Source organism: Homo sapiens, chromosome 8, assembly GCF_000001405.40.
Source record: "Homo sapiens chromosome 8, GRCh38.p14 Primary Assembly".
Lineage (NCBI taxonomy): Eukaryota > Metazoa > Chordata > Mammalia > Primates > Hominidae > Homo > Homo sapiens.
In genome coordinates, this window is record NC_000008.11 from 143,289,898 (window position 1) to 143,314,773 (window position 24,876).

Consider the following 24,876-nt stretch of genomic DNA (forward strand, 5'->3'; position numbering starts at 1 on the left):
GGAGTACCGGAGCCTGCAGGGCAAGAGAGGGTCTTCAGAAGACCCACGACGTTCCACTGGGATGCAGAGGGAAACGGTTACTTGTACTTCTACATCATCTCTTTTAGATGTGTGTGTGTGTGGTGTGTGTTGTTGTTGTTGTTTTTGTTTTGCGACAGAATCTCTGTCACCCAGGCTGGAGTGCAGTGCCAATCTCGGCTCACTGCAGCCTCCGCCTCCCGAGCTCAAGTGGTCCCCCCGCCTCAGCCTCCCGAGTAGCTGGTACCACAGGCGCCGGCCACCACGCCCGGCTAATTTTTAAAAAAAATTTTTAGTCGACACGGTTCTAACTATGTTGCTCAGGCTGGTCTGAAACTCCTGGACTCAAACAATCCTCCTGCCTTGGCCTCCCAAAGTGCTGGGATTACATTCATGAGCCTCTCGCCCACCCAGTCTAAGTGTTTTAATTTTTATCTTTTACAACAGCTTCTAATTTGTTACAAATAAACGTGCAGCATGTGGTGGGAGTGTTCAGGTGTTTACTGGTGCAGTGCGCAATGAACGCGGTTCCAGGCACGAGATGTGGAGGCCCAGAGGCAGATGCCGGGTGGCGGCGGCGCGGGACTGTCGGAGGCGCGGGCAGGGACCTGGGCTCCCAAGGCTGTGGCCCTCCCGCCCCAGTCCAGGGTCCAGTTCCAGGGGCGCGTCTGGCCCTCTGTTGCTGTCTTCTTAGGGTTCTCTCATGGGAATCGGTTCTTCAGCCTTTCTTTTCTCCCCAGAGAGGGTCTGTCTACTCGTTGTAAGAGGGAACAAGTCCACATTGCAGCTGTACACTTTGCACCCATGATGAAAAGCGTCACTTTTGCAGCATTCCAGCTGGAGATGCGTGACCTTCGGTCTGCGGCAGGCGGAAGGGCGAGAGACTTGGACAGGAGGTGCATCTTGCCCGGGGAAGGCTGAACGAATGAGAGCTCGGTCCCTGGTGAGAAAGAGCCCAGAGCCCGCGAGAGGCGGGCAGCAAGGGCTTCTCTGCAGCGGAGACGCGAGGGCGGCGTCCTGCAGGGAGGCGGGGGGCAGCGCCTGGGGCGCTCCAAGCTCTCGGCCCCAAGGAAGCCCACGCTCGGGACCCGCGTGCTGCCACAGCCCCGGGGGCCTGGAGGGTCCCGTGAGCCGAGCGGGACCCGGGACAAGCGCGGGACGCCGCGGGGAACGGACGGGAACGCGCGTGGCCGCCCCACAGCGGGCCTTCGACACCTCCTGACACGTCCTGCGGGTGCCCGGTCCTCAGTTGGCTCGAGCCGGATCCCGGCGCGCCAACGGCTCGACCTTGCCCCCCACGAGGCAGGGCTTCCTGCCCGGCAGGAAGGACTCGGCCGGCGCCTGCGGGCAACCGATGAGCTGAAGGCGCCGCGGCTGGGCCGTCCCGCTCTCCCGCCGCCGAGCGCGCTGTCCTCCCGCTGCCCAGAGCGTCGCCGGAAGTGCCGAGGGGGCGGGCCAGGGGTGGAGACTGGCGTTTCCGGCGCGCGACGGGGCGGGGACCGTAGCGGGTGCAGTCCAGCTGCTCTGGACGCTGAGGCCCCGGCTTCTCTTGCTGGGGTGTCGATTCGGGAGGGCTGAGGGCGCGGCCGAGAGAACGGGGCGGTCACCGCCGCCGTGGCCCGCGCGTCCCGCGCTCTCCTTGCAGTGCAGGCCCCAGCCGCTCTCGGGCGCGGCGTGGGGGAGGCGGCCCTGCAGGTGCGTACCCGGGGTCCGACACGTGCGGGGCTTCCTGCGAGCTGAGTCCCCGCTGCGCGTCTTCAGGCCTTTGTAAGTTGTCAAATTTCCCACCGGCCCAGCTCATCGAGCTTCTTCCCAGCTGTGAACAGGAGGGCCTGTTCCCTAATTCTTGCCGGTAAGGTACTTGCAAAAATCTGCTTCCAGACTAAAAAATTGCACTTTAAATTACCTTTTTGTAAAAGCGGCGGGGTCTCGCTATGTTTCCCAGGCTGGCCTCCTACTCCTGGGCTCAAGCGATCCTCCCGCTCAGCCTCCCTGGCAGGCGGGATTACAGGCGGCTTAAATTAAATTTACTAATTAATCACTTTATTTACTTATTTTTTTAAGACAGGGTCTCACTCCAACGCCCAGCTGGAGTGCAGTGGCGAAATCTCGGTTCACCCCAGCCTAGACCTCCTGGGCTCAGGCAGTCCTCCCACCTCAGCCTCCCTAGTAGCTGGGACTACAGACGCCCACCATCACACCTGGCTAATTTTTTGATTTTTTGTAGAGACGGGGTCTCACTATGTTGCCCAGGCTGGTCAGGAACTCTTGTAATCAGTCAGTCCTCCATCCTGAGCCTTTTGAAGTGCTAGGATTACAACTGTGAGCCACAGCACCCAGCCAAATTACATTTCTTAATTGCACTTGAGGTGAGACCTAAAAAAATGTATTGCCTACTGGTTTTTCTTCTTTGTGAGTTACCTATTCATGATCTTTGCCAATTTTCCTTCCTTTCTCATTAATATATAGAGGTCTTTATCAGATAGGGATGAATCTTTGCATTGCACGTATTCCTCCCTTTTTGGTTTTTTTTTTTTACATTAAATTTTTTTATGTAGTTGAATTTGTCAGACATCTGATGTCAGGCTTAGAAAAATCATTCCTCATTCCAAAACTTTACCATTCAAATAAGTTGTTCTTTTCTTCTGGTTTAACATTTTTATATTCAAATCCTTATAACTACCAAGAAAATTTTAAAACCCATGGGAATTTCTCTAGACATTTGAAGACTGCTGGAGGGCGCGGGCTTCCTCAGCATGGAGCTAGGAAGCTGTGGCCACGCCCACCTGTGCTCTGCGTCAGCCCTGGGTGGAGGGGGACCCGCAGAGCCTGGACCAGAGTTCCTGGGCATCCCACAGAACAGAACACCCGCTTCTGGGAGTGTCTGTTGAGCCAGGACCTTGATTGCTAGTGACAGGAGTGGGCCCAGCTGGGTGATGCAGCTCCCACAGGGCCTGTTCTGACAGTTTCCTCTGAAGGCATTCTGACCTCACTGCCCCTGGCCCCTGTACCTAGCCCTGGCTGTGATTTATTTTCCTTTTCTTTTACCTAAGCAGAAATTGTTCCAACTGCTGGTGTTCTGCAAGATGGAGCCAGGAGGAGAGCCCACAGGTGCTAAAGAGAGCAGTACCCTGATGGAGTCCCTTGCAGGTGAGGGGACATGTCCACAGTCGGGCCCAGAGTTCCAGGGCAGGAATTGAACAGGAATACAGGAAAAACACCATGTCTCAGTCACTGACGCAGAGCATATACTGTGTCCTTGGGCGCAGGGTGAGGGAGGGAGGTAAACGCAGGCCCATCAGATCTCCTGGGCATCTGTTTGGTGACTGTCTTTGCCAGTGAACTGAGAGCTTTTGGTTAGAAAGTCTGGCAGCCCCAGGCTCTGCCTCTGGGAAGGTCTCTCTCTCAGTGCTTCTCCACCTTGGCACCGTGGCTGTTTTGGAATGGACGAGTCTTTGTTGAGGGGCCATCCTGTGTGTTGTAGGACGTTCGGCAGCACCCTCGCCTCTGCCCACTTGGTGTCAGTAGGGCCCCCTCCCAGTTGTGACAATCCAAAACATCTCCACACATTGTCAAATGTGCCCTCAGGACAAAATCGCCCCCATGAGAACACTGCTTTATGTTTTGGGGCCACCCTGAGAGTGTGTCACAGCAACAGCCCGGGAGATGGCGTGGGCAGTGCAGGCCCTGCTGTGAGGTCTGGGATTGCCTCCATCGGAAAGGCGTCCTTGGGGCCTGCAGGCTGGATCCAGTAGAGCTCCACCACGTATGTGTCCCCTTCTCACCATAGTCTTGGTTCTTTTTCCTCATAAGCAATACCTTTGAGTCAGTTCTTGAACTTCCAAGTCTGCAAACCACAAGACCAGGGCTGGGCCTCTGCCAAGGGGCTTCTGTTCTGCAGGCCGCCCTGAGCGCCTCCCGCCCCCTGGCTGCTCAGTGTCAGGGGTCTGCAAGGGCAGAGAGAGGTGGGGACTGTCGATAGCAGCCTGCTCTCATCTGCCCTGGAACATCCCTGCCCCACCCCCACCTCCACAGGAGCTTCCGTCTTATCTGCGCCCTCCACATTCTTGAGAGGTGCAGCTGGGACTCAGCCGCTTCTCCTCTGCTGCCACAGCGGACTGCCTGCAGACTGAGAAGTCCTCCTCAGTTGCTGTGCTGGCCTCGTTGGCCCCCCTCCTCCTGCTGCCCCTCCTGGCTGAGTCCTCCTGCCTCCTATGCAGGCCAAGCTCAGTTGCCAGCTTTCTCATGTCCCAGGGTTTCACCCCTACCCCTTAAGCCTTTTTTCTAAATGGCCACATGGTCTGTCCCTGTGAGCCAGTGGAACCAAATCTAACCAGTGGCTTGACTGCCAGACAAGGGCCATTGATAACGCAGCCTGGATGGGGTTGCTCAGCCTGACCAGCGCCGCCGCCGCCCAGCCCACATGGGACGTGGGTTGCTGCTTCCAGCTCTTGTTCCGGATTTCTTTTCTTTTCTTTTTTTTTTTTTTAAGACAAAGTCTTGCTCTGTCGCCAGGCTGGAGTGCAGTGGCGCCAGCTCACTGCAATCTCCACCTCCTGGATTCAAGTGATTCTTCTGCCTCAGCCTCTCAAGTAGCTGGGACTACAGGTGTGCACCACCACACCCAGCTAATTTTTGTATTTTTATTAGAGATAGGGTTTCACCTAATCTTGATCTCTTGACCTCGTGAACTGCCCACCTCAGCCTCCCAAAGTGCTGGGATTACAGGCGTGAGCCACCGCGACTGGCCTCTTGGTCCGGATTTCTGTCTGAGTGAGGACGCTCCTGTTTGCACATAACAGAAGCCCTTAGAGTTTGGTGTTTGGGGGCAGTTGTTAAGGAGTCTGCGTTGTCTCAGGGAGTCCAAGGTAAAAGGAATGAGCTGGGGCCATGGCTGGGTGTGGTGGCTCACACCTGTAATCCCAGCACTTTAGGAGGCTCAGGTGGGAGGAGGGTTGAGCCCAGGAGTTCAAGACCAGCCTGGGCAACACATTGACACACTGTCTCTACAAAAAATTTTTAAAATAGCCTGGTGTGGTGGTGCTCACCTGGAGGTGCGCCACCTACTTGGGAGGCGGAGGGAGGATCACTTGAGCCCTGAGGCTGCAGTGAGCCATGATGGTACCACTGCACTCCAGCCTGGGTGATAGAGCAAGACCCTGGCTCACAAGAAAGGAAGGAAGGACAGACAGAAGGCAGAGCTGGGCCGTGGGCTCTGTTGGGTGCCACTGTCCCCGGGCCTCCTGCTACATCTGCCTCGCTCCCGTCCTGGCTTGCTGCCAGCTGTCTCCAGCCTCCTTTGCTTTCCCAGCTGTCCCGCAGAGTAAGGCAGTGCCCAGAGCCTGCGTTTCTGTCCCCTCCCCTCCCAGGACTGGGTGGGCCGAGGCTAGAGGTTTAGCCCTGTTTCTAGCCCCGTTTAGCCTCGTTTCTGTTTGTATATTTTTAAAATTCTATTTTTTTAAGAGACAGGATCTCACTATGTTGGCCAGGCTGGTCTTGAACTCCAAGTCTCAAGTGGTCCTCCTGCCTCAGCCTCTGAAAGTGCGGAGATACAGGTGTGAGTCACCACATCCGGCCCCACAGCCCCGTTTCTGGAGTGGCAGTGCAGGATTCTCGTCTACCTCATAACCATGGGGGTTAAGAAGGTGGGGAGGAGAAAAAAACTAAAAAAAACGAGGCGGGAACTGAATGGGCAAAATCAAAGGTGTCTGTGGCACACTGACGTCACCATCACTGTCACTCTGTCGTCACCACGATTGCCAGAGCCACCCTCGACTCACGTTCTCTTACATCTAAAATCGTTCCTGTCTGGCCTCTTTTTCAGCTGTGAAGGCTGCTTTCCTGGCGCAGGCCCCGAGTGGCAGCCGGTCAGCCGAGGTGCAGGCAGCTCAGAGCACGGAGCCTGCCGCAGAGGCAGGCGCTCCCGAGGGAGAGGGCCACAGAGGGGGGCCTCCCCGGGCGTTGGGGTCTCTTGGCCTTTGTGAAAACCAGGAAGCCAGAGAGAGGCCCGGAGGTTCCCCTCGAGGCCCGGTCACTTCTGAGAAAACTGGAGGACAGAGTGGCCTCGAGTCAGACGTCCCTCCGAACGCAGGCCCCGGCGCAGAGGGCGGGGGCAGCTGGAAGGGGCGGCCTTTCCCGTGCGGCGCCTGTGGCCGCAGCTTCAAGTGCTCCTCGGACGCGGCAAAGCACCGGAGCATCCACTCGGGGGAGAAACCGTACGAGTGCAGCGACTGCGGGAAGGCCTTCATCCACAGCTCGCACGTGGTCCGGCACCAGCGGGCGCACAGCGGGGAGAGGCCCTACGCGTGCGCCGAGTGCGGCAAGGCCTTCGGCCAGAGCTTCAACCTCCTCCGGCACCAGCGCGTGCACACGGGCGAGAAGCCCTACGCGTGCGCCGACTGCGGCAAGGCCTTCGGCCAGAGGTCGGACGCCGCCAAGCACCGCCGCACCCACACCGGGGAGAGGCTGTACGCGTGCGGCGAGTGCGGGAAGCGCTTCCTGCACAGCTCGAACGTGGTCCGGCACCGGCGGACCCACCACGGGGAGAACCCGTACGAGTGCCGGGAGTGCGGCCAGGCCTTCAGCCAGAGCTCCAACCTCCTCCAGCACCAGCGCGTGCACACGGGGGAGCGGCCCTTCGCCTGCCAGGACTGCGGCCGCGCCTTCAGCCGCAGCTCCTTCCTCCGCGAGCACCGCCGCATCCACACCGGGGAGAAGCCCCACCAGTGCGGCCACTGCGGGCGCGCGTTCCGGGCGCTGTCGGGCTTCTTCCGGCACCAGCGACTCCACACGGGCGAGAAGCCGTTCCGCTGCACCGAGTGCGGCCGCGCCTTCCGCCTGAGCTTCCACCTCATCCAGCACCGGCGGGTGCATGGCGCCGAGTGAGCCGGGGCTGCGGCGGAAGAGATGCCGGCGGCCTGGTGGGCGCGAGGCCGAGGCCGGGGGAGGCTCCTGTCCGCCCCGTGCGCGGTGAGGAAGTAACAGCCGGCTGCGCGCCTGGTTCTCGGGTTGCGAAAGCCTCGCCAGGCCTGCATCCGCCTTGGCTTGGGAGCAATCAGGAGAGACAGGGCTCGGGGAAGGCGAGCGCTGCCCGCGGGAGGCGATTCCCAGAGGCGGGGAGGTCTCAGGGGTCTGTCCCGGGCCGGCCGCCCGCCTCTGAGACTCCCCGCCTCCCACGGTCAGCTGCTGCGGGGCAGTGGCCGGTGATTGAATCGGTCATTCCTCCGCAACCAGGCCTCCATCAAAACCCTGCATGAGATGAGGGCCTCGGGCTTCGGGTTGGTGAAGGCGGGGTGGGGGGGCAGTTAGGAAGGGGGCGCCCAGACAGGGCATGGAAGCCTCGCGTCCTCCCCCGTACCTTGCGGGTCGGTGGTTCATCCATGTATTTCAACGCCTTTTCACAGCCGGTTCATATGGTCCCGACTTCTGTGTGCTTAGAAAATTATGGAACTTGGCCGGGTGCGGTGGCTCCCGCCTGTAATCCTAGCACTTTGGGAGGCCGAGGCGGGCGGATCACACGGTCAAGAGATCAAGACCATCCTGGCCAACATGGCAAAACCCCCATCTCGACTAAAAATACAAAAAATTAATTGGGCGTGGTGGCGTGCGCCTGTAATCTCAGCTACTTGGGAGCCTGGGGCAGGAGAATCACTTGAACCTGGGAGGCGGAGGTTGCAGTGAGCGGAGATCTGGGCACTGTACTTTAGCCTGGGCGACAGAGAGACCCATCTCAAAAAAAAAATTGGAACCTGAGAAGGGGGTCGTGGGGTCCCCGGGGCCCACCGTCTGCACTTGGCATCTGAAGTCGGGGTGGTCTTGTGGGACTGACCCCTTACCCTGTGGGTTCTGCACTAGCTCCGGGCAATTGGTGACAGAATCGAGTTAAATTGTAGGACATCGCGTTGGTGTCTGAGAGGGAGTTGGAGAGCTGGTTGGTGTGGAGGGAAAGGCTTACACACATGTGATTTCAGAAGCGTTCTGTGGGTAGAGGAATCGTTTTCTCTTTGAGACTGTTATGAGTATGTACAAATGTTATTTCCTGTAAAATATTTTCATTTTTTAAAATGTTATTTTCTAGATAGAAAAGTAGAAGTGTCTCTTTGGGGAGCGTTTTTGGGGGCGTATAGTAAAGCTCTGTCATCATGAATTAAGCGAGGTGGGCTTTGAGTTTCTTGGGATGACAGGGAAATGTGAGCCGCCTACTGGCCGTGAGCCCCTGGGGTGCGGTTGCAGGATTCGCCCATCCTGGTCTGGGTGTGGCTTGTGACCACCTCCTGCAGTTCTCTGCCCAGGTAAGGACTAATTGGGAAGAATTCTGGGTCCTGAGCTGGCTGCCGCTTCCAAGACAGTCGCTTTGAGGGCTCTTGGCACCGATTTTGTTAAAATGCATGAGCTTAGGGTTGTGCAGCCTGTAGGGGCAGGGGTGGTCTCAGAATGGATTTGGTGGCCCCACCGTTAATTAAGCTCCTGACCCCTGGGCCGGTGGTGAGGTGGGAAGATGAGCCTGTGTCTCCCATGCTGAGCCAAGATCCTCAGGTACCAGTAGCGGTCAAAGCACCTGCTCCCTGAAGGAAGCTTACCTGGCTTAGCCTCATTCCTGCTCGTAAGTCAGGCATTCAGCTTGCAAAGATCCCCAAGCACACAAGGAGAGTCAGCTGACTGAGGGCCAACAGAAACAGCAGGCAGCCGCTGTCAGCCACAAAGAAACGCAGATCCTGAAACTGTCATCATACAGGTGAGAGGATAGTTATGTGTGAGGTGTTCAAAGAAGTCGCGCAGTCAGTGATGAGAAAGCTGTAGGGTACATACTGTCACGCATGAATAGGCAGGACTCCTTAAAGAACTTTTGGAAATGAAAAACAGGCCAGGTGCAGTGGTTCATGCCTATAATCCCAACACTTTGGGAGGCCTAAGGGGGAGGATCACTTGAGCCTAGGAGTTCAAGACCAGCCTAGGCAACATAGGGCTGGGCACGGTGGCTCACGCCTGTAATTCCAGCACTTTGGGAGGCTGAGGCAGTGGATCACCTGAGGTCAGGAGTTTGAGACCACCCTGGCCAACATGGCAAAACCCCATTTCTACTAAAAATACAAAATTAGCTGGGCATGGTGGCCCACACCTGTAATCCCAGCTACTCGGGCAGCTGAGGCAGGAGAATCCCTTGAACCTGGGAGGCAGAAGATGCAGTGAGCCGAGATCACGCCATTGCACTCCAGCCTGGGCAAAAAGAGCAAAACTCCATCTTAAAAAAATAAATAAATAAAGGAAAATGAGCCGAGTGATGGTCTTAGATATAAGATGGAATGGCAAGCAAATAAAATTATAAATATGAATACATATGTATATATAAAAGAATAGTGTCAACTAAAATACTAGACAACAATAGCATGTAAATTAGAAGGGACAGAAATGTTCTAAGACCCTCCGGTTGTTGGGAAGAGGGTGTAAGATAGTGTTTAATTTGACTTTGATAAGTTAAATGTGCATAGTGTAATTTAATGTTAATTACTAAAAGAGTGTAACCAGTCTATACATCTCTAATCCAATAAAAAGAATAAAACACTGTGATTTAAAATGTAGTCCCAGCTGCTTGGGAGACTGAGGCAGGAGGATCTCGGCTTGGATCCTCAGACCAGGAGTTTGAGGCAGCAGTGAGCTACGATTGTGCCGCTGCACTCCAGACTGGACAACACAGTGAGAGCCCATAAAATAAATAAATGAACTGAACACAAACTTCTGTCAATTAAAAAATAAGAACGAAATCAGGCTGGGCCTGAGCGCTGTGGCTCACACCTGTAATCCCAGCACTTTGGAGGCCAAGGTGGGTGGATCGCTTAAGCCCAGGAGTTCGAAACCAGCCTGGGCAACATAGGGAGAACCTGTCTCTACAAAAAATACAGTAAGTAAGCCTATAGTTCCAGCCACCCAGGAGGCTGAGGTGGGAGGATCACCTGAGCCTGGGAGCTCGAGACTGCAGTGAGCTGTAGTCATACCACTACACTCCAGCCTGGGCAAAAGAGTGAGACCCTCTCTCAAAAAAGAAAAAAAAATCAGAAACAAACTGGGCAAATTAAGATGGTGGAAACAAAACTAAATATGTCCCTAACGACAGTAAGCTGTATAGAATTGCCGGTTGACAGGTAAAGGTTAGGACTGGGTGCAGTGGCTCATGCCTGTAATCCCAGCACTTTGGGAGGCCGTGGTGGGTGGATCACCTGAGGTCAGGGGTTTGAGACCAGCCTGGCCAACATGGTGAAACCCCGTCTCTACTAAAAATACAAAAATCAGCCAGTTGTGGTGGTGCATGCCTGTAATCTCAGCTACTCGGGAGGCTGAGACAGGAGAATGGTTTGAACCTGGGAGGCGGAGGTTGCAGTGAGCCAAGATTGCGCCACTGCTCTCCAGCCTGTGTGACAGAGTGAGACTGTCATACACACAAACACACATAAAGATTAGGAGGAAAATCTGTGACCCAGAGTCACACACATGAAGACAGACAGGAGGGAGGCGTGAGTCAACCAGGGGAAGAAAGGCAAGCTCAGGTGCCATATGAAGTCCAGAACATTGTTTTAAAAAGGAAACTCAAAAATAATGATGGGCCAGGCATGGTCGCTCACCCCTGTAATCCCAACACTTCGGGAGGCAGAGACGGGCGGATCACTTGAAGTCAGGAGTTCGAGACCAGCCTGGCCAACATGACAAAACTCCATCTCTATTAATAATACAAAAATTAGCCAAGTGTGGTGGTCTGCGCCTGTAATCCCAGCTACTTGGGAGGTTGAGGCACGAGAATCGCTTGAACCTGGCAGGCAGATGCTGCAGTGAGCCGAGATTGCGCCACCGTACTCCAGCCTGGACTTCACTCAACCTGGGAGGCAGAGGTTGCAGTGAGCCAAGATCGCACCGCCAACTCCAGCCTGGGCGTTACTCAACCTGAGAGGCGGAGGCTGCACTGAGCCAAGATCACACCGCTGACTCCCAGCCTGGGTGTCACTCAGGCTCAGTGAGACTCCACCTCGAAAAAAATAAAAAAATAATAAAAATGTCTTAGAGATGGAAATGTAATGGGCAAAATTAAATTAGCAAGAAGGTGGAAAGTGGAGAAAATCTGTTTGAAAGAATGAAAAGACAAGAAGGTGGGTGACAGGATAGAAAGATTAAGACTAACAGGAATTCCAAGGAGGGGAAAACAAAAACAGAAAATGGTGGGAATGAAGTTATTAGAGAAATAATTTTCCCCCAGAACCGAGAAACATGAATCTCCAGAGTAAAAGCACCTACCGATATCTCGCACAAAGATGGAAGGAACGACCTACATCCAGGCATGACGTGAAACATCAGACAGTCCAGGACATAGAGACGATCTGAAAGCGCAGATCACACACACAGGCTGAGGAATAAATCCCTTCCCAAGGGCAGACTGGAAGTTAGAAAATGACAGAACAATGCTTCGAAAATTACAAGTGAAAATAATTTCCAACCTAGAACTTTATACCTACCCAAGTGGTCAGTCAAGTGTGACAGTATGACAACATTTTCAGATATGCAAACTCTTACTTTTAAAAATTCATTTTCAAAATACATGTTTTCAGGAGCCTACTAAAGGAGGAGCTCCAAATCAAGGGAGCAAACCAAGAAAGAGGAAGAAGGGGCTGGCCACTGTGCTGTAATCCCAGCACTTTGGGAGGCTGAGGCAGGTGGATCATGAGGTCAGGAGTTCGAGACCAGCCTGTCCAATATGGTGAAACCCCGCCTCTACTAAAAAATACAAAAATTAGCTGGGTGTGATGGCGCGTGTCTGTAGTCCCCACTACTCAGGAGGCTGAGGCAGGAGAATCGCTGGAACCCGGGAGGCGGAGGTTGCGGTGAGCCAAGATCACACCACTGCACTCCAGCCTGGTGACAAAGCAAGACTCCGTCTTAAAAAAAAAAAAAAAAGGAAGAAGTGGAATCTTGTAAATGGGGTTTCATAGAAAAAAAGTGGTGAGGGGCATCCCCACGTGACAACGGAGCCCCAGGGCTGGGCAGAGAGAGCCGCGTGTCCTGGGACCGTCCGATATTTCCCACAGTCCACTCTGGAGCCACAGTGACTTACTTTCCTTCCACAAGTGAAATATGCTCGCCACCCCCCACTCAAGCCACCCAGAGGTCTCTTCCTGCTGCTGTCTCAGCTCAGAGGCCGTCAGCTCATGATTCTCCTCTGGTCCGGATGTGTGTGAGATGCCTCTTGAGGCTATAAACTAAAGAAAAAATTACCTGCCTCGACCCCAGCACAGGATTTTGAGACAGGCCCAGGATAAGCACAATAACTCTCTCGTTTGAAAAAGAGAGCGGTGGGGGCTCATTCACTGCAGACCCCAGTCTGTAGTACTCTGTTGACTCAGTCAACAGCATGTTGCCAAGGGACCTCATTAAGGGGGCAGAGTCTGTGTCTTTTTTAGGGCCTCATTTTCCCTGGAAGTGACATTATTATCCTTTTTTTTTCCCTCAGATTTTGGCTCTGCCCTTGGTCTCTCTCCTCTGTGTTTTTAGATGTCCGATAGCCTGTATTTGAGGCTAAGCAGCTTTCTTAGCTGCTTACTGCCTGTAGAAGGAGGGAACCCAAAGGCTTCATTTTCAGCTGTTTCCATCTCTGTTCATTTAAACTGACACAATGCCCTTAAAAATCTGGTGGGTTTCGGGCCGGGCGCGGTGGCTCACGCCTGTATCCCAGCACTCTGTGAGGCCAAGGTGGGTGGCTCACGAGGTCAAGAGATTGAGACCATCCTGGCCAACATGGTGAAACCCCGTCCCTGATAAAAATGACAAAATTTAGCTGGGTGTGGTGGTACGCACCTGTAGTCCCCGCTACTCAGGAGGCTGAGGCAGGAGAATCACTTGAACCCAGGAGGCAGAGGTTGCAGTGAGCCGAGATCGCGCCACTGCCCTCTAGCCTGGCAGAAGAGCGAGACTCCATCTCAAAAAAACAAACAAACAAAATCTTGTGGGTTTCTTAGATTATATTCTCCACTAGACAAAAAATATACTTAAACATTTGTCAGTGTTTTCTCTGTTTCATATGATGTGTTAGCATGTTGTGGGAAAACATCCTTTAGGGTCTTAGAAACACTTTTGTCTAGCTGAGAGGATTTGTACTATATACTATCTTCCAGCATATATATATATATATATATATATATATATATATATATATATATATTTTTTTTTTTTTTTTTTTTTTTTTTTTTTTTTTTTTAGAGACAGGCTCTTGCTCTGTTACTCAGGCTAGAGTGCAGTGGTGCAATCAGTTCACAGCAGCCTTGAACTCCTGGCCTCCCACCTCGGCCTCCCAAAGGGCGGGGATTACAGGTGTGAGCCACCACACCCAGCCCCAACATGGTAAACTTTTCTGGGGCCTTAACAATGGATATGGCCACAACCTTGATTTTATCTTTATCCTGAGGCCACTTACTACTTGAATTCTTTGCAGGCAGTGGTGATACACCCTACAGTCCCAACTGATCAGGATGCTGAGGCAGGAGGATCCCTTGAGCAATATAGGGAGATCTTGTCTCTAAAAAATAAAAGTAAATTTAAAACAACTTTTGAAAGAAAATGCTTTGCTGACTGCAGAGACAAGATGTGAGATGGTTTTGTTTCCCAAGCCAGTTCAGGCCCCGGCTCTGTGTCCTCCAGATTCCGCCTGCAGACTAGACGATCCCTCCTTTCACACATTTCATGCTCGCAGGCCTCACCAGTGCCACGAGGAGCGTTCCGCTGACATTTTTGCCACTCTGTCTGGAGCTCTGCTTAGCTGGGTCCATTTTCTAATTTCCAAGTTACTGAAGGCAATTTTTTTTTTTTTTTTTTTTTTGAGACAGAGCCTGGTTCTGTTTCTCAGGCTGGAGTGCAGTGGTGCGATCTCGGCTTACTGCAGCCTCTGCCTCCCGGGTTCAATTGATTCTCCTGTCTCAGCCTCCTGAGCAGCTGGGATTACAGGTGCCCGCCACCACGCCCGGCTAATTTTTGTAGTTTTAGTAGAGACAGGGTTTTGCCATGTTGGCCAGGCTGGTCTTGAACTCTTGACCTCAGGTGATCCACCCACCTTGGCCTCCCAAAGTGCTGGGATTAGAGGCACAGGCCACAGCACCCGCCCAAAGGCAATTTTTTTCACCCAAATTTTTCACTACTACCTAATCATGGTTTCTTCTGCTAATAGTCTCCTCCCCGTGTTTCTGTTCTCCAGCCCCAGACTGCACTCGCAGTCAGTGCACTGCGTCTTAGGTGTTGCTTCTGCCAACAGCTGTCTTAGACGAGGTGGCTCTGCCAACACCTGTCTTAGACGAGGTGGCTCTGCCGGCACCTGTCTTAGACGAGGTTGCTGTGTCAAAATTCCACAGACCGACTGGCTTCACAGCAGACATTTCTTTCTCCCAGCTCTGCAGGCTGGGAGTCCAGCCTCCAGGTGCCACAGACCCAGTTCCTGTTGAGGGACCACCCCCAGCTTACGGACAGCAGCCTCTTGCTCATGTGACCGTCCCGTGTGTGCTCCTGGAGAGGAGGCTCCGGTGTCTCTTCCCATGAGGGCACTCATCTCATCGTGAGGGTCCCCCAGGATCTTCTCTAAACCTGCTCCCCTCCCAAAGGCCCCACCTCCAACACTGTCTTGCTGGGGGTGAGGACTTTAACATGTGAACTGGAGGTGAGGGACAAGTATCCAGTCCACAGCAACCCCAACTCTGGGACCCAGTTTCTCTACTGGCACTTGCTGAGTAACCACCCACCCAGACGCCTGGTGGCTCACAGCTGCAGGGACACGGTGCTTCTGTGGCCGCAGGCGTGAGGACCCGGGTCCTGGCCTCCCTGGGGCCTGTTCCTCGGCTGTGCCCGGTTACTCAGGGCTGCTCTGGTCCTGCCTCCCCAAGGAGAGCCCTTGTGAGGTCACAGGTGCAGAAGGAAGCCCGTCCGATGCAGACGGATGTTCCAGCCAGGCGGAGAGGAGAAAATCAGTACCTAAAGCATCTGACAGAAAAGGAAAAAAAAATCCAAAATAAACCATTTAGAATAGACTCAGAGGACATAACACACCTGGGACTGACTTACATGATATTTAGGAAAGATGTGTAAGATTTCTACATGTAAACTGAGAGATGGGATGTTATTATTACAAATTTTCCTAAGCCAGGGTCACCCATGCTGGAGGGCCGTGGTACAATCACAGCTCACTGCAGCCTCAACCTCCCGGGCTCATCCTCCAACCTCAGCCCCACGGGTAGCTTGAGACTACAGGCGCGCACCACCATGCCCAGCTAATTTTGGGGGTTTTTGTTTGCTTGTTTTGGGAGAGACAGGGTCTCATTATGTTGCCCAGGCTGTTGAGATGGAACATTACTCACAAACATGTAAAAACTCAAACGATGGCGGGTCTGCCCATTCATGGATGGAACAGGGGGTGTCAACATGTAAAAACTCAAACAACGGTGGGTGCCTGTTCGTGGATGGAGCAGGGGGTGTCAACATGTAAAAACTCAAACAACGGCGGGCGTGCCTGTTCGTGGATGGAACAGGGGGTGTCGGGAAGGCGTCAGGGCTCCCGGTTGCTGTCAGTCGCCCGTGAGACCCGAGCAGCAGTCGCTCTGTTCTTGTGATCATGGCTGAGTGGGATCCAGTGTGAGTCTCCACCCGGCCTGTTACCCAGTTCCAGCTGCAGGGCCTGGGCGCCCTTTTCCGCCTGGGCAGCAGTGAATGAAGTTGCTCTAAGTCCCTTGCTGCTCTTGGTGCACTTAAGAGAGGGCTCGCAGGCCACAGGATAACAGGAGAGGCTGAGTGCGCGGCATCCTCCATCATGGAAACGCATCTCGCACCAGCACACGCAGCTGGCTTTTCCACTACTTTTGCCCGTCGATGGCACCACCCAGCTTTTCTCTGGGTGGGACAGGTATCTGTCCACCTGGGGTTTCTACTCTGCATGTTTTATCTTTTTTTTTTTTTTTTTCCTGAGATGGAGTTTCACTCGTCGCCCAGGCTGGAGGATAATGCCATAATCTCAGCTCACTGCAACCTCCGCCTCCCAGGTTCAAGTGATTCTCTTGCCTCAGCCTCCTGAGCAGCTGGGACTACAGGTGCCTGCCACCATGCCTGGCTAATTTTTGTATTTTGAGTAAAGACAGGGATTCACCATGTTGGCCAGGCTGGTCTTGAACTCCTGACCTCAGATGATCCGCTCGCCTCGGCCTCCCAAAGTGCTGGAATTACAGGCGTGAGCCACCGCGCCCGGCCATGTTTTATCTTTTATCCAGGTAGTCTGTGACTATCCAAACGAGGCTCTGACAGTCTACAGGGATCGTGTCAGTCTGGAGAGTTGGGTTAAAGGCAGGTTGTTCGGGGTGAGAAGGGGACGCTGAGGCAGCAGGTGGTCACAGCCTCACGTCTCAGAAGGATGCGCTGAGCAGTCCCGGGGTTTTGGGCAAGTGAGGTCCACACCCCTCTAATGAGTACCTTTAGAGGCCACTGGCCTGCAAGTTCTGATGACGGGGAACAGCCTTAGGGGCCTCTCCCTGGAGCTCCCACTCACCCCCTCGACCCCCACCCTGCTGTGTCCTGAGCTGTGGCTTGGGAGATGTTTCTGGACTGGGACCAGACCCCGCAACCTAGAGAGCCAGCTCTAGGCTGGGAATTCCTGGGCTTAATGTCCAGGCATGAAGTCAGCTCCTTGTGTGTCCTCATCTGTACAGAGAGGGAAAGGCCCATCACCGTCTCCGCGAGGACAGACTCCGAGGTGATGTGGGTCGGGCCTGCACCCTCAGTGGTTTCCCTTCTGGAGTCTGGGCCTGCTCGGCCAGTGCCCTCATTTTCTGTGGAGCTGTTCCATGTCTGGGCACAGAAGCACCTCTCTGGGAGCAGGTGGGGACGTGAGAGCCCCCTGCTGGAACTGTTCTGTCACAGGCCCCGGGAGGAGCTGGACCTGCTGCCGGAGCCCCTTGGGGCAGCGGGTGAGCCGCGGTGTGAGAGACTCGGGCCTGGAGCACCAAGGGCCCCACAGCAGGAGGGATGGGGGTGCAGCCTCCAGGGCGCTGGGGTCCTCTTGGCTGACCAGGAGCCTTACACAGGGGCTGCCTCATGGGGTTGGCGGGAGCCCCGGTGTGAGGGAGACAGCCACAGAGGCAGCCCCGAAAGCAAAGCGCGGAGCAGATGGCAGAGGATCCCACGTGGCAGAGGAGAGGGCAGCAGAGGATCCCACGTAGCAGAGGAGAGGGCGGCAGAGGGTCCCGTGTGGCAGAGGGCAGCAGAGGGTCCCACGTGGCAGAGAAGAGGGCGGCAGAGGGTCCCGCGTGGCAGAGGATCCCACGTGGCAGAGAAGAGGGCAGCAGAGGATCCCACGTGGCAGAGGAGAGGGCGGCAGAGGGTCCCGTGTGGCAGAGAGGGCGGCAGAGGGCCCTGCGTAGCAGAGGAAAGGGCAGCAGAGGGTCCCACGTGGCAGAGAAGAGGGTGGCAGAGAAGAGGGCAGCAGAGGGTCCTGCGTGGCAGAGAGGGCGGCAGAGGGTCCCGCGTGGCAGAAGAGAGGGCAGCAGAGGGTCCCGCATAGCAGAGGGCGGCAGAGGGTCCCGCGTGGCAGAGGAGAGGGCGGCAGAGGGTCCCGCGTGGCAGAGAGGGCAGCAGAGGGTCCCGCGTGGCAGAGGAGAGGGCAGCAGAGGGTCCCGTGTGGCAGAGAAGAGGGCGGCAGAGGGTCCTGCGTGGCAGAGAGGGTGGCAGAGGGTCCCGCGTGGCAGAGGAGAGGGCGGCAGAGGGTCCCGCGTGGCAGAGGAGAGGGCGGCAGAGGGTCCCGCGCGGCAGAGAAGAGGGCGGCAGAGGAGAGGGCAGCAGAGGGTCCCGCGTGGCAGAGAAGAGGGCGGCAGAGGGTCCTGCGTGGCAGAGAGGGCGGCAGAGGGTCCCGCGTGGCAGAGGAGAGGGCGGCAGAGGGTCCCGCGTGGCAGAGGAGAGGGCGGCAGAGGGTCCCGCGTGGCAGAGGAGAGGGCGGCAGAGGTTCCCGCGTGGCAGAGGAGAGGGCGGCAGAGGGTCCCGCGTGGCAGAGAAGAGGGCGGCAGAGGAGAGGGCGGCAGAGGAGAGGGCGGCAGAGGGTCCCGCATGGCAGAGGATCCCACGTGGCAGAGAAGAGGGCAGCAGAGGATCCCACGTGGCAGAGGAGAGGGCGGCAGAGGGTCCCGTGTGGCAGAGAGGGCGGCAGAGGGTCCCACGTGGCAGAGAAGAGGGCAGCAGAGGGTCCCACGTGGCAGAGAAGAGGGCGGCAGAGGGTCCCGCATAGCAGAGAAGAGGGCAGCAGAGGGTCCCGCGTGGCAGAGGAGGGCAGCAGAGGGTCCCGTGTGGCAGAGAAGAGGGCGGCAGAGGGTCCTGCGTGGCAGAGAGGGTGGCAGAGGGTCCCGCGTGGCAGAGAAGAGGGCAGCAGAGGGTCCTGCGTGGCAGAGAAGAGGGCGGCAGAGGGTCCCGCGTGGCAGAGAAGAGGGCGGCAGAGGGTCCCGCGTGGCAGAGAGGGCGGCAGAGGATCCCGCGTGGCAGAGGGCAGCCGACAGGCAGCTCTGAGAGGATACAGGGTTGGGAAGCTCAGGCAGAAGGCCATCGTAAGAGCTAAGAGCTACGTATGGAGAGTGTGGAGGTGATGAGAACTGAACGGGGGCCGCTGGGCTTAGTGACCAGGCAGCAACTGTGCCCTTGCTGAATTCCAGGCGCTAAAGAACTTGGTGAAGAGTCCGGGCCCCGCTGAGAGGGTGGCGCGTGCGCAAATGTGGAATCCTCACCCAAAGTCCTCAGCCTCAGAGCACACGAAGGTGTTTCTCCTCCCCTGTCGAGCGGGAACCGGGGGTCCAGGCTGGGACGCTGATTGGATGTGACAGCCCAGCAGACTCCATGCTCGGGGTGGAGGCTTCAAAGGACACGGCAGGCGTCAGGGACTTTTCTTTCTCTTTGAGATGGGGTCTTGCTCTGTTGCCCAGGCTGGAGTGCAGGGGCGCAATCACAGCTCATTGCAGCCTCAATGTCTGCTCAAGCAATCCTCCAGCCTCAGGCCTCTAACATGCCAAGATCACAGGTATGAGCCACTGTGCCTGGCCTAGGGACTTTTTCTTTTTCTTTTTTTTTTTTTTTTGAGACAGTCTCACTCTGTCGCCCAGGCTGGAGTGCAGGGGCACGATCTCGGCTCACTGCAAGCTCCGCCTCCCGGGTTCACGCCATTCTCCTGCCTCAGCCTCCCGAGTAGCTGGGACTACAGGCGCCCGCCACCACGCCCGGCTAAGTTTTTTGTATTTTTAGTAGAGATGGGGTTTCACCGTGTTAGCCAGGATGGTCTCGATCTCCTGACCTTGTGATCCGCCCGCCTCAGCCTCCCAAAGTGCTGGGATTACAGGTGTGAGCCACCGTGCCCGGCCGGCCTGGGGACTTTTTCTAGTGATGTACAAGCACTTGCACACATTTTATTGTACAAAATTCCCCAGTACTGCTTTAATAGTGAAAAAAACACACACACATACAAAAGAAGTTTCAACACGGCTCGTCGTTAGAATTCAAAGTCTTCTCCTGCCATGGCGAGAGCCCAGGCGAACCTCTCCCGCTGTGTTTTGCTGTAGATCTTCTCCACTGGCACCCTGAACCGCTTGCACCTGCGGGAGGCAGCATCAGCCCAGGCAAGCAGGCAACTCACCCACCTTGAAGGCCAGGTCAGGGTGCTCGGCAAGGGCGAGCGTCCTCCATGCAGCAGAGACACCAGAGCCGCCTGGTGTAGCTGGGACCTGCTCCTCTAGGCCAACCCCACCCCACGCATGCCGCCACCCTGGAGCATCAGCGAGGTGTCAAAGACAACCTGCTGTGGCCTAGGTGTCCACCGAGCAGGGCGCTCAGCCACCTCCCACTCCCTGTGGGCAGGCTGAGCTCCACAGGCCCTCCTGATGCCTCCGAGTCCCAGGCCACTGTCAGCACCCCCACTTCACCCTGTCCATCCGAACGTTCAGGGCAGGGAGAGCTGATGACACAGGACTCAGCATCATGGGTCCCTGTCACAGGGAGGGCCTGTGCTGACCCCAGGGGACACGGGACAAGGGCAATGCTGGGACTGAACAGAGGCCTCCTGGAAAACCCAGGCCCCCCATAGGCCACAGGTGGGAACTGAGACCCCAGGCACACGCACCAGGCAATGCTGATCCTGGGGTCCAGGTAGTTGAGCTTGGACGTGCCCAGGGCCACCTGCTTGTTCTCCTCCTTGTCCGTGGCCTGCACACTCAGCTGCGCCAGCTGCTCCTGCAGCTTCTCCAGGAGCCGCCTCTTCTTCTCCAGGACACTGGCAAGAGAAGAGGAGGCCGCGAGGCCCCGCGCTGGACTAGCGCCACCTGAGGAGACCTGCACTTCTCTGGCCCTGCCGCCTTCCCTCCCAGTGCAGCCCTGTCCCTGTCATTGTCATCAGTCATCCATCACAGCAAAAGACCAGCCGGGATCAAAGGTGGAAGCTCAGCCCCACCCCAGCTGCCAAGTCAGATACAGAGGAGGGCCGTGGGCGGAGGGTGAGCAGCCCGTCAGGACCTGACTCGCAGGAGGGTGAGATGCTCGACACAACAGACTGAGGCCGGCCCAAACAGGATGAGGGCAGCGAGACCAGGCCCGAGAAAGCAAACACAAATGTCCTTTAACCTCCGGGAAGCCGCTAAGCCCTCCTTCCTGCCTCCTTAGGGAAAGCAAATTTCAGCACAGAGATGCCCTTTCCACATTACTTGCACCCTCCAATGCCAGAACATCACCCACACATGCAACCTCTGACCCCAACTCTTCTAGGAATTTGTGCCACAAACACTCGAATGTGCGTGGAAAGACAAACTTGCGCCTGCAAAAATACGGCTGAGAATGGGGCAGCCCGCCGGGCCAGAAGCATAGGTCCGGGGAAGTGCCTTCCCAGCATGAGCCACATCCCCAGGGGCCGAGGGACACATGAGGGGCTGCTATTTATGTGAAAACAAGGAGGGAAAACAGAGGAAGAGCCAGCACGCACACACAGTCCTTCTGGAAATGCTTAAGAAATTTCTCTTGGCTTTTTTTTTTTTTTTTTGAGACGGAGTCTTGCTTTGTCACCCAGGCTGGAGTGCAGTTGCATGATCTCAGCTCACTGGAACCTCTGCCTCCCGGGTTCAAGTGAATCTCCTGCCTCCTGAGTAGCTGGGACTACAGGCATGTGCCACCACGCACATGATTTTTTTTTTTTTTTTTTTTTTTGTATTTTTAGCAGAGACAGGGTTTCACCATGTTGGCCATGATGGTCTCAAACTCCCAACCTCAAGTGATCTGCCTGCCTCGGCTGCCCAGAGTGTTGGGATTACAGGCATGAGCAACCTTGCCTGGCCAGGAAATGCTAAAGAAATTTTACAGCAGCTGCCTCTGGGGACAGGAGGTCAGGGGTGAGTCACAGCCTTATTTTTCACTGAATACCCTTTGTTCCAATTGACATTTCCTTCGCACACGCCACCATTAAAAACAGACCCCTGCATCTCCGGATGCTCATCCTGAAGAGAAAACTTTTACCCTTTAAGAACCACAGCCAGGCCAGGAGCAGTGGCTCACGCCTGTAATCCCAGCACTGTGGGAGGCCGAGGCGGGTGGATCACGAGGTCAGGAGATTGAGACCATCCTGGCTAACATGGTGAAACTCCGTCTCTACTAAAAATACAAAAATTAGCCAGGCATGGTGCCGTGCACCTGTAATCCCAGCTACTCAGGAGGCTGAGGCAGGAAAATAGTTTGAACCCGGGAGGCAGAGGTTGTGGTGAGCTGAGATCATGCCACTGCACTCCAGCCTGGGCAACAGAGTGAGAGACTCTGTGTCAAAAAAAAAAAAAAAAGAACCGCAGCCACAATAATGAGGAATGAATGAAAGAGGGAACATCACTAAAGAAATAAAAAAGATAATATGGGAATACTATGAATAACTGGGCACCAGCCAGTTAGACACCCTAGACTAAACAAATTCCCAGAAAGATACAAACTACCAGAACCAACTCACAAAGTATAGAAAATATGAATAGAACTATAACAAGTGATTATATCAGTAACTTTAAACGTCTCCCAAAGAAAAGCCCAGGCCTAGATGGTTTCACTGGTGAATTCATTTAACAAACTGACCCTAGCCAGGCAGTGCAGTGCAAGCCTATAGTCTCAGCTATTCAGGAGGCTGAGTTCGGAGGACTGCTTGAGCCCAGGAGTTCAAGACCAGCCTGAGCAACACAGCAAGACTCTCTCTTTAAAAAGGCACCAATTTTTCATAAACTTTCATGAAATATTAGATATTATATTAAATATTATTCAACTCGTTACCAGTATTACCTTGATACCAAAATCAATGACATCATAAGAAAACTATAGACTAACATGCTCATGAATACAGATGCAAAAACCTCAACAAAATATCAGCAAACTGAATCCAGCAATAGACAAAAATGATTACACAATTGCTCAAGTAGGATTTATCCCAGGAATGCAAGGATGGTTTCATATCTGATCAATTAGTATAATACATCCTATCAATATAAGGAAGGGACAAAAACAAGATCTCAACAGGTGCAGAAAATCATTTGACAAAATCCAATGCTCTTCATGATAAAAAAAAAAGAACCTCAACAAACTAGGAATAGAAGTAAATTTTGTTAACTTAACAAACAGCTTCTGTGAAAAACCTACAGTTAACATCATATTCCATGATAAAAGCATGAGAGTTTTGCCCCCAGTATCAGGAACAAGGCAAGGCTGCCCACTCATGTCCAGTGTACTGGAGATTCCTGCCAGGTCCATAATGCAAAAATATGAAATAAAAGGCATATGATTGGAAAAGAAAAAGTAAAACTATCTCTGTTTGCATACAATATGGCCTTTATAGATACAGTCCTAAGGGCCAGGCATGTTGGCTCATACTTTTAATCTCAGAGCTCTGGGAGGCCAAGGCAGGATTGCTTAAAGCCAGGAGTTCAAGAGTAGCTTGGGCAACATACAAAAATTTTCTTAGTGTAAAAATTAGCCAGTTGTGGCCGTTGGCACCTGTGGTCCCAGCTACTCAGGAGGCTGAGGCGGGAGGATTGCTTGAGCCCAGCAAGTTGAGACTATGGTGAGCTAGGATGCTGAGACATCTGGCTGTCCACATGCAAGAGAATGACCCTGGGCCCTTCCCTCAGACCACACACAAAAATTAACTCAGAACCAATGACCTAAATGTAAGAGTAAACCAATAAACCTCTTAGGAGAAAACAGAGAAATCTATCTTCATGGCCTTGGGTTAGGCAAAGCCTTCTCAGCACGCTGACTCATCCAAATCTTAAATGTGTCACAGGACACCAACAAGAAAGAAGAAAGATGTGGCCGGGCGCAGTTGCTCACACCTGTAATCCCAGCACTTTGGGAGGCCGAGGTGGGTGGATCACCCGAGGTCAGGAGTTCAAGACCAGCCTGACCGACATGGTGAAACCCCATCTGTACTAAAATACAAAAATTAGCCAGGTATAGTGGTGTGTGTCTGTAGTCTCAGCTACTCGGGAGGCTGAGGCAGGAGAATCGCTTGAACCCAGGAGGCAGAGGTTGCAGTAAGCCAAGATCACGCCACTGCACTCTAGCCTGGGTGACAGAGCAAGACTCCATCACCAAAAAAAAAAAAAAAAAATAGGGCTGGGAGTAGTGACTCACACCTGTAATCCCAGCACTTTGGGAGGCCGAGACAGGCAGATTGCCTGAGCTCAGGAGTTCAAGACCAGCCTGGGCAACATGGTGAAACCCCGTCTCTACTAAAATACAAAAAAATTAGCCGGGCATGGTGGCGGGTGCCTGTAATCCCAGCTACTCAGGAGGCTGAGGCAGGAGAATTGCTTGAAACCTGGAGGCAGAGATTGCAGTGAGCCGAGATCATGCCATTGCACTCCAGCCTTGGCGACAGAGCAATGCTCTGTCTCCAAAGGAAAAAAAAAAAAAAGAAAGAACAAAGACAACCCAAGAGTGGGCGAAACATCGACGAGCTCTTACAAGTCAATAATAAAACAACAACCCGACTGGAAAATGGACAGAGGACCTGAGCAGTCATTCTCCAGAGACGATACAGAAGTGGGCAACAAGCACCTGCAAAGAGCACCCACGGCCAGACGCTCCTTCACACCCACTGGGCTCTAATCGACACATGGAAAACTGACCCTACAGTGGCGCCTGGACAGAGGAATCGGAGCCCTCACACACTGCTGGTGGGGAGGGGATGGTGCCGCCGCCCTGGAGAAGAGTCTGGCACCTTCTTCTCATTTCCTGACCCCACAATGACAATCACAAACCTCCTTGGCGGCCAGGGTCTCCTCCTCCCACGGCTCCATGTGTCCCACTCTTGTCCACAAGGCATATAGTTTGTATTTTTAAAAATCACAAAGTTGGCCAGGTGCAGTGGCTCATGCCTGTAATCCCAGCACTTTGAGATGCCAAGGCAGGAGGATCACTTGAGGCCAGGAGTTTGACCAGCCTGGCCAACATGGAGAAACCCCGTTTCTACTAAATAAATAAATGAGCCGGGCGTGGTGGCGCGCACCTGTAACCCCAGCTACTCGGGAGGCTGAGGCAGGAGAATCACTTGAACCCGGGAGGCGGAGGTTGCAGTGAGCTGAGACCGCGCCAGCGCACTCCAGCCTGGCGACAGAGACTCCATCTCAAAAAAAAAAAAAAAAAAATCACAAAATAACAATTGAAGAGGAAAACAAAACTGGCCATGGGAAGGCGCGTCTGAAGCTGCCACATCTGGGTTGGTGTGGGCGGCAGCTACCTAGGTGCTGAGGCAAGAGACTGAGGGCACGAGCTGTTCCAGTATAATAAAATACATAAGAATAGTTATACTAT

The 24,876-nt window shown here is 54.3% G+C and overlaps 2 protein-coding genes and 1 long non-coding RNA gene across 22 annotated transcripts in view, besides 5 other annotated features; 1 reads left to right on the forward strand and 2 right to left on the reverse strand.

Annotated features, from left to right (window-relative positions):
- Positions 1,009–1,584: an enhancer, noted in NCBI's record as "H3K27ac-H3K4me1 hESC enhancer chr8:144373076-144373651 (GRCh37/hg19 assembly coordinates)". NCBI's record gives its function as "activates a minimal SCP1, AML or CMV promoter by ChIP-STARR-seq in naive H9 embryonic stem cells {active_cell/tissue: H9 hESC(naive)}" and the evidence as "EXISTENCE:reporter gene assay evidence [ECO:0000049][PMID:30033119]".
- Positions 1,009–1,774: a biological region, named in NCBI's record as "H3K27ac-H3K4me1 hESC enhancer GRCh37_chr8:144373076-144373651".
- Positions 1,055–1,774: a silencer, noted in NCBI's record as "silent region_19615". NCBI's record gives its function as "represses an Ori minimal core promoter by ATAC-STARR-seq in GM12878 lymphoblastoid cells {active_cell/tissue: GM12878}" and the evidence as "EXISTENCE:reporter gene assay evidence [ECO:0000049][PMID:35858748]".
- ZNF696 (zinc finger protein 696) lies at positions 1,520–10,055 on the forward strand. The gene is made up of 3 exons (NM_030895.3): positions 1,520–1,870; positions 3,075–3,168; positions 5,843–10,055. The coding sequence occupies exons 2-3, from the start codon at positions 3,105–3,107 to the stop codon at positions 6,901–6,903; spliced, it is 1,125 nt and encodes a 374-aa protein (NP_112157.2). The 5' UTR covers positions 1,520–1,870; positions 3,075–3,104; the 3' UTR covers positions 6,904–10,055.
- Positions 10,056–11,487: 1,432 nt separating this feature from the next.
- On the reverse strand, positions 11,488–13,182 carry LOC124902037 (uncharacterized). The gene is made up of 3 exons (XR_007061139.1): positions 12,853–13,182; positions 12,113–12,257; positions 11,488–11,936 (listed from the first exon to the last, which is right to left on the reverse strand). It is a non-coding gene; the product is annotated as an uncharacterized LOC124902037 (long non-coding RNA).
- Positions 17,409–17,909: an enhancer, noted in NCBI's record as "H3K27ac hESC enhancer chr8:144389476-144389976 (GRCh37/hg19 assembly coordinates)". NCBI's record gives its function as "activates a minimal SCP1, AML or CMV promoter by ChIP-STARR-seq in naive H9 embryonic stem cells {active_cell/tissue: H9 hESC(naive)}" and the evidence as "EXISTENCE:reporter gene assay evidence [ECO:0000049][PMID:30033119]".
- Positions 17,910–18,410: an enhancer, noted in NCBI's record as "H3K27ac hESC enhancer chr8:144389977-144390477 (GRCh37/hg19 assembly coordinates)". NCBI's record gives its function as "activates a minimal SCP1, AML or CMV promoter by ChIP-STARR-seq in naive H9 embryonic stem cells {active_cell/tissue: H9 hESC(naive)}" and the evidence as "EXISTENCE:reporter gene assay evidence [ECO:0000049][PMID:30033119]".
- Positions 19,427–24,876, reverse strand: part of TOP1MT (DNA topoisomerase I mitochondrial) — a 50,654-nt gene continuing 45,204 nt past the window's right edge. For 13 of the 20 annotated variants that reach the window (XM_047421336.1, XM_047421339.1, XM_047421330.1 and 10 more), the window contains one exon: positions 19,608–20,320. In XM_047421336.1, the coding sequence (XP_047277292.1) occupies positions 19,825–20,320 (496 nt within the window). In that variant the 3' untranslated portion in view covers positions 19,608–19,824. The other 7 variants (NM_001258447.1, NM_001258446.1, XM_047421333.1 and 4 more) reach the window with 2 other exon arrangements.

Bases quoted from the DNA above. Each gene is read 5' to 3' on its own strand.
- ZNF696 (NM_030895.3), top strand. From the start codon at position 3,105: ATGGAGCCAGGAGGAGAGCCCACAGGTGCTAAAGAGAGCAGTACCCTG. The intron at 3,169-5,842 runs GTGAGGGGACAT...CCTCTTTTTCAG, and splicing joins CCTGATGGAGTCCCTTGCAG to CTGTGAAGGCTGCTTTCCTG.